The sequence below is a fragment of the Homo sapiens genome, chromosome 13, assembly GCF_000001405.40.
Source record: "Homo sapiens chromosome 13, GRCh38.p14 Primary Assembly".
In the NCBI taxonomy this organism is placed as follows: domain Eukaryota; kingdom Metazoa; phylum Chordata; class Mammalia; order Primates; family Hominidae; genus Homo; species Homo sapiens.
The window spans coordinates 26,037,124-26,043,123 of record NC_000013.11 but is presented as its reverse complement, the minus strand read 5'-3'; positions in this window follow the sequence as shown (position 1 = coordinate 26,043,123).

Genomic DNA, 6,000 nt, shown 5'->3' with positions numbered 1-6,000 from the left:
TACCATGATTAAAGCAAAAAAAATACACCTTAATGAATGAATTTTTCATTTAGTGACTGCTACTTGGTTTTCCAAAAGTATAACATTATTAGAAGCAACCTCAGATCTTTTCAGTTTTGGTAAGAGCTGGAAAAATTTAGCTGACAAAGCAAAAATGTTCAACTACCTGTTTTAAGGACACCTTCCTTATCATGAAATATAAATCAGAACCTATAAAGGGTAATTTGCACCTTGTAGAAATATTCCAAATTCTGTCATTTGCAGATAGAAAAATAGTTTGCTGCTGTACATTTTCTGCTGTATCTAAACCTCTAGTGTCGGTTTATGATAGTTCTAGGGGATTCCATTTCCTGCTTATAGGACAGAGAAGCAGACTCTGACTGCAAAGAAGAAAAAATTAGCTCATTGTGTCTATGAAGAGCGTGAAAACTACGCATCTGTCATTTCTGCTGCCACTGGAGAAGTTAAGATTTAGCAATAAGATCAACATCCAAAGTGGCAAAAATACCATTAAGAAAAGTGTGTTTTGGTTTCGCGTATTTCCTCTGCAACACGCACTTTCATGTAGCCTTCCATTTCTGATTACATTCTCATAAGCTTGACTAATGAAATATTTCATCTATTAAATTGACCTTGAGCTCATTCTTTTAAGATTGCAGTTTTATTTCAAGAGCTCTGTAACCCATATTTTCTCCTTGTTTTGTTATAAATGCTGATTTTTGTTTTGTTTTGTTTTGTTTGAGACAGGGTCTCATTGTGTCACCCAGGCTAGAGTGCAGTGGTACCATCATAGCTCACCACAGTCTTGAACTCCTGGGCTCTAGGGATCCTCCTGCCTTGGCCTCCCAAAATGACAAATGAGGATTTAAGTTCCTTTCAGAAGCCTTGCCTGAAGAAACCATGAAGGTTAGAACAAAGTTGGTGATGACAGTCAGGGCAAATGTTCAGAAATGGACTGAATCCCAGAGAGAAAGTTTGAATGGTGCTAAAAGTTGAGATAGTGAAGAGTTTAGAATAACACATTCTCTTCCGTTTGGCCCTTACCTTGTAGTAGCGGTCAAGACTAGTCCTTTTTTCTCTCAGGGGCTTTGTCTCTGTTTCCTGCAAACTCACAGTGGTCTTTTGCTAAAAGTGCAAGTTCCCTACCATACATATTCTCAATGATTTTTTCAAGTGGGTCAGCAGTTGAAATTAATAAACAGCAAGCTTGCTTTTAGTTGCTTGAGCTTCCTAAATGCTTAAAGGGAGTAAGTTTGTTTCTTTTTAGTGTATTTCAGAATGGAGACTTCTCATTCACTTAGCCTGGCCTTCCTCCAGTCAATCAGAATGGTCTCATGAAAATACGCAGTGTGCACTTCACCCATGTCTGGGGCTGACTTCCACTCATAGAAGTTGGGGGGAGCCCGTGGGAATCTGGGGAGAGAGGTGATGCTGGGCAGACAGAGAGACCAGACTGACCCTGTCAGTCGTCAGGATAGAAAATAAGCATCCCAGGCACTTGCCAGCCCTACTGGACTGAGTTACTGCTAAGTAAATAATGCATCAGCAGTAATGGCTCAATGAACTTTCTAGGATTTTAAAAAATGTGGTCACTTCCCATTTTGCTTATTTCTCTTGCCTCTTAAGAGAACAACCAAACCCTCTGAGGAAGCTGCATGATCTTACAGTGGCACTGCTCTCAAACAGAGCAATCTCAAGGCATGGGATGGGGAGTACCGAGGCTTTAAACTCACCAGAAAGTATGTCGACTCCCTGCGGCCTGCCAGAGAAGGGACAGGAAAGACCTGGGTCTGGGTCTGGGCCTGGCCACTAAGGAAGCCACACCTTTTGTGCTTAAGTTTTGTGCATCTTTTATGTTTAAAAGGGGGCAGCTGAAATATTGCAATGAGGAATGAAGCATGCATACAAAAGAGAACACCCTTCCTCATCACTCAACCTTAATCCTCCTTCTATTCTACTTGCTTAGATGGTAAAGCTTTGAGGACATGTTTCTCTCTCTCTCTCTCTCTCTCTCTCTGTCTGTCTGTCTGTCTCAGAGCTGGAGATCAGCTATTTTCATTCAGCCCATTCATTCAAAAATACCTATATCAAATATTTCTTTGCCTTCCGAAATGTTTTCCTAATTGAAAACACTAATGTTATTGTGATTCAAGTGCCTATCAGAGATTAAGGGAGAGATGACAAAGAATTAGAAATTACTAACTCTGGCCGAGCGTGGTGGCTCACGCCTGTAATCCCAGCACTTTGGGAGACCGAGGTGGGTGGATCACCTGAGGTCAGGAGTTCAAGACCAGCCTGGCCAACATGGTGAAACCACAACTCTACTAAAAATACAAAAATTAGCTGGGCATGGTGGCGGGCGCCTGTAATCCCAGCTACTCGGGAGGCTGAGGCAAGAGAATCGCTTGGACCCAGGTGGTGGAGGTTGCAGTGAGCCAAGATTGTGCCAGTGCACTCCAGCCTGGGCAACAGAGCGAGACTCTGTCTCAAAAAAAAAAAAAAGAAAAGAAAAAAAAAGAAAAAGGAAATTACTAACCCTTCTCCTTGAAAATCACTGTAGTGTACTAGATAGATATGTTTTTTAGGGCACTAATTTGCATTTTCTCTCCTTTGCTCTCTTTTTTTTTTTTTCCTGTATAGAATCATTTATCAGTGAAAAATGGAAAAATAAAACCCTAGGAAAACACTCAATTACTCTTGTCAAAGATGTTAGGTATTTTTGGATATCAACTATAACCCCGCGTCACCATGACAGAATAACTTGGAGATAAAATTACAGCTTTGAATGGAGATTTGGCTGTGAGGGTCATTTTGCCGTTCCCAGTTAAATCTTCATAATATCTTCACCATTTATACTGAGAATTGAAGGTCCTAGATGCAAATCAAAAACAAGAAGTTTAAAATTAATGCTTTTTAAAACTTCTAAATTAGAAATAATGAAAGAGTAAAAAAAAAGTTGATAATGGTAGCCTTAAGACGAATTTTAAGCATGACAACTTGCATCTTAATTTTAACCATCTTGAAATGTAGGTCTTTCCATTTAGAAAAATCATAGGTTACACAATACATTATTTACTCAGCAGACTTCACAGCTGGAGAAGACTGATTGCCATCCGTAACATGTATATAAAATTGCCACATGTCTGTATACACATGTGTACAGAAGGATCATAGGAAAATTTGAAACAGAAAGAACTTATTATATGAGGCTATCTTATCCAAGACTCTGTTCTCAATTCTTGGCTGATTTTTAAAAGAGGAGTTTACAGTGCTCAGCTCTGCTTGTCTCAGCTGTAGTTGATTCTATCAAACCTCCTCTGGAATGGGATGGACCTGAGTTAGAACCTAGTTCTACCAATTGTGTTGTGGCCTTTGGTGTGCACTTTATGTCTCTGAACCTTGGAGCGTTCTCTTTAAAAGGGGATTGGTGTGGGGACAGAAGCATATAATATTGCACCATGCTAGTGGTATCCAATAGATTTTTGTAATAAGCATATAATTTAACTTCTTTCCAGACATTTTAAATCTTTCCAATATAGAAAAATATATACATTTATATTCACAAAATATGTCAAATAGATATAGATCCTTAGAACCAGTTTAAGATATTTTTCTTATTTTGGTTCCAGTAACAAATCAGTAGTATTTTACCAAGGAAGGCCTAAATTTATTGTATTTTTAGATTGACTAAGCAACTTGTACAGAGTTGACTTTCTCTGTCCCTTGAGTCAATACTACGCTTTGGAATGCCCTAAGTGGTCTTGTCTTACTTCTCTGCACTGTTGCTTTGTAGTCACAGGACATCTCATTCTTCTATCTCTGCTGGGCTTGGCTCCTCCCCGTGAGCCTTTCTAGCCTGCCTCTTGGCATCTCTCCGAAGCGATCAAGGTTCAGTCAGGAATATAGACCGAATCATTTTATTTTACAATTATTTATTATCTATTTATTTATTTTGAGATAGGGTCTCGCTCTCCCCCAGGCGGGAGTGTAGTGGTGCGATCATGGCTCACTGCAGCTTGGACCTCCCAGGCTCAAGCAATCCTCCTGCCTCAGTCTCCTAAGTAGCTACAGGGTCACCACCACACCTGGCTAATTATTTTATTTTTTGTAGAGACAGAGTCTTTCAACATTGGCTAGGCTGCTCTTGAACTCCTGGGCTCAAGCAATCAGCTGGCTGTGGCCTCTCAGAGTGCTGGGATTATAGGCATGAACCACTGAGCCGGGTCTATTTTATTTTATTTTTCTTCTTATTATTTTTTTTGAGGCTGAGTCTCGCTCTGGCACCCAGGATAGAGTGCAATGGCACAATCTCGGTTCACTGCAAACTCGGCCTCCAGAGTAGATGGGATTACAGGCACTCACCTCCACACCCAGCTAATTTTTGTATTTTTAGTAGAGACGGGGTTTCGCCATGTTGGCCAGGCTGGTCTTGAACTCCTGACCTCAGGTGATCTACCCATGTTGACCTATTTTAATTTTCTACTGAATTCTTTATAACCTACACACAGTGAAGTATACAAATCTTAAATGTATAGCTCAGTAAGCCATCACCCAGATCAGGAGACAGAAAAAATCCGGTTAATAGCCCCCTTCAAAGACAAATGCTCCTCTGATCCCCATCTCCATGGATGAGCTCCGCCTGGCTTTGAACATCATATAAATGGAATCACACCGTAAGTACTCTTTAGTGTCTGGCTTGTTGTTGTTCCTTTCCATTGCTGTCTAGTATTCCATTCTGTGACTGTACCATAATTTTTACATCCACTCTACTATTGATTAACATTTAGGTTCTTTTCAGTTTTGTGCTATCTTAGGAAGAATGCTGGCAGGAACAGTTAAAAACATTTAAACATCAGCCTGGGCGCAGTGGCTTACACCTGTAATCCCAGCATTTTGGGAGACCAAGGTGGATGGATCACCTGAGGTCAGAAGTTCAAGACCAGCCTAGCCAACATGGTGAAACCCCGTCTCTACTGAAAATACAAAAATTAGCTGGGCGTGGTGGCATGCACCTATAATCCCAGCAACTTGGGAGGCTGAGACAGGAGAATTGCTTGAACCTGGGAGGCAGAGGTTGCAGTGAGCCAAGATCACACCACTGCATTCCAGCCTGGGCAAAAAGAGTGAAATTCCATCTCAAATAATAATAATATTAATAATAAAATAAAATAAAATCATAACATCAGCACTCAGTTCTCTCCGTGGATTCCCAGGGGTGGAGTTGGCTGTGTCACAGGATGTATGTGTATTTGCTTGTGTAGATACGGCCACAGTCATACCAATCATTTTAACAGAGAAAATTTGTATGAGGAATTGGTTAAACAGATGTTGGAGAACTGAAATAGAAAGCGGCAATGCTGAGATGAATAGAAATAGTGAATGGCAGAAGCTGTTAACACTCCTAGGGCTGAGGCACAAAGGAAGAAATTGAGGGCATTGGAATCTAAAAGCTTGAAGTAGAGGCTCTGCCATGCCAGAGGGCAGCTGGTCCTGGTGCCCCACGGGGACACAGTGAGGCTGGTTCTGACAGTGCAGAGAAAACTCTGGAGACTGGTACCAGCTGCTGCCAGGGTGAATGAAGGCTGAGACTACAGAAGACACTAGCAGGACAGAGGGAAAGCCAGCCCCTCTCTCTCCTTCAGGCTTGCAGTCTACCTCTACTGCCCCCTATTGGCAGAGCCTAACACACCAGCTTTGCAGAGTCCAGGCTCCTGCATGGCAGAGCCTTGTATGTAGGGAAGGATCAGGTTGGAAGTCAGTAACTGGCACACCTCAAGGAGAGACTATGCCTTGCGACATGAGTAGTTCTTATGACATTCCTCATCTTTCTGATGTGAGTATTGCAATTGTATTAGTCTACTTATTATAAGCATTTATAAAGTCAGCGATACTTAAAATATTCATACATCTCATTTTAATGCAAAAATAAAAATTGGATACTCCATTAAAACTGAGTTTAATAGCATTCCCTGGGCAGTTGTATTGCTGAGAATTTTGCAG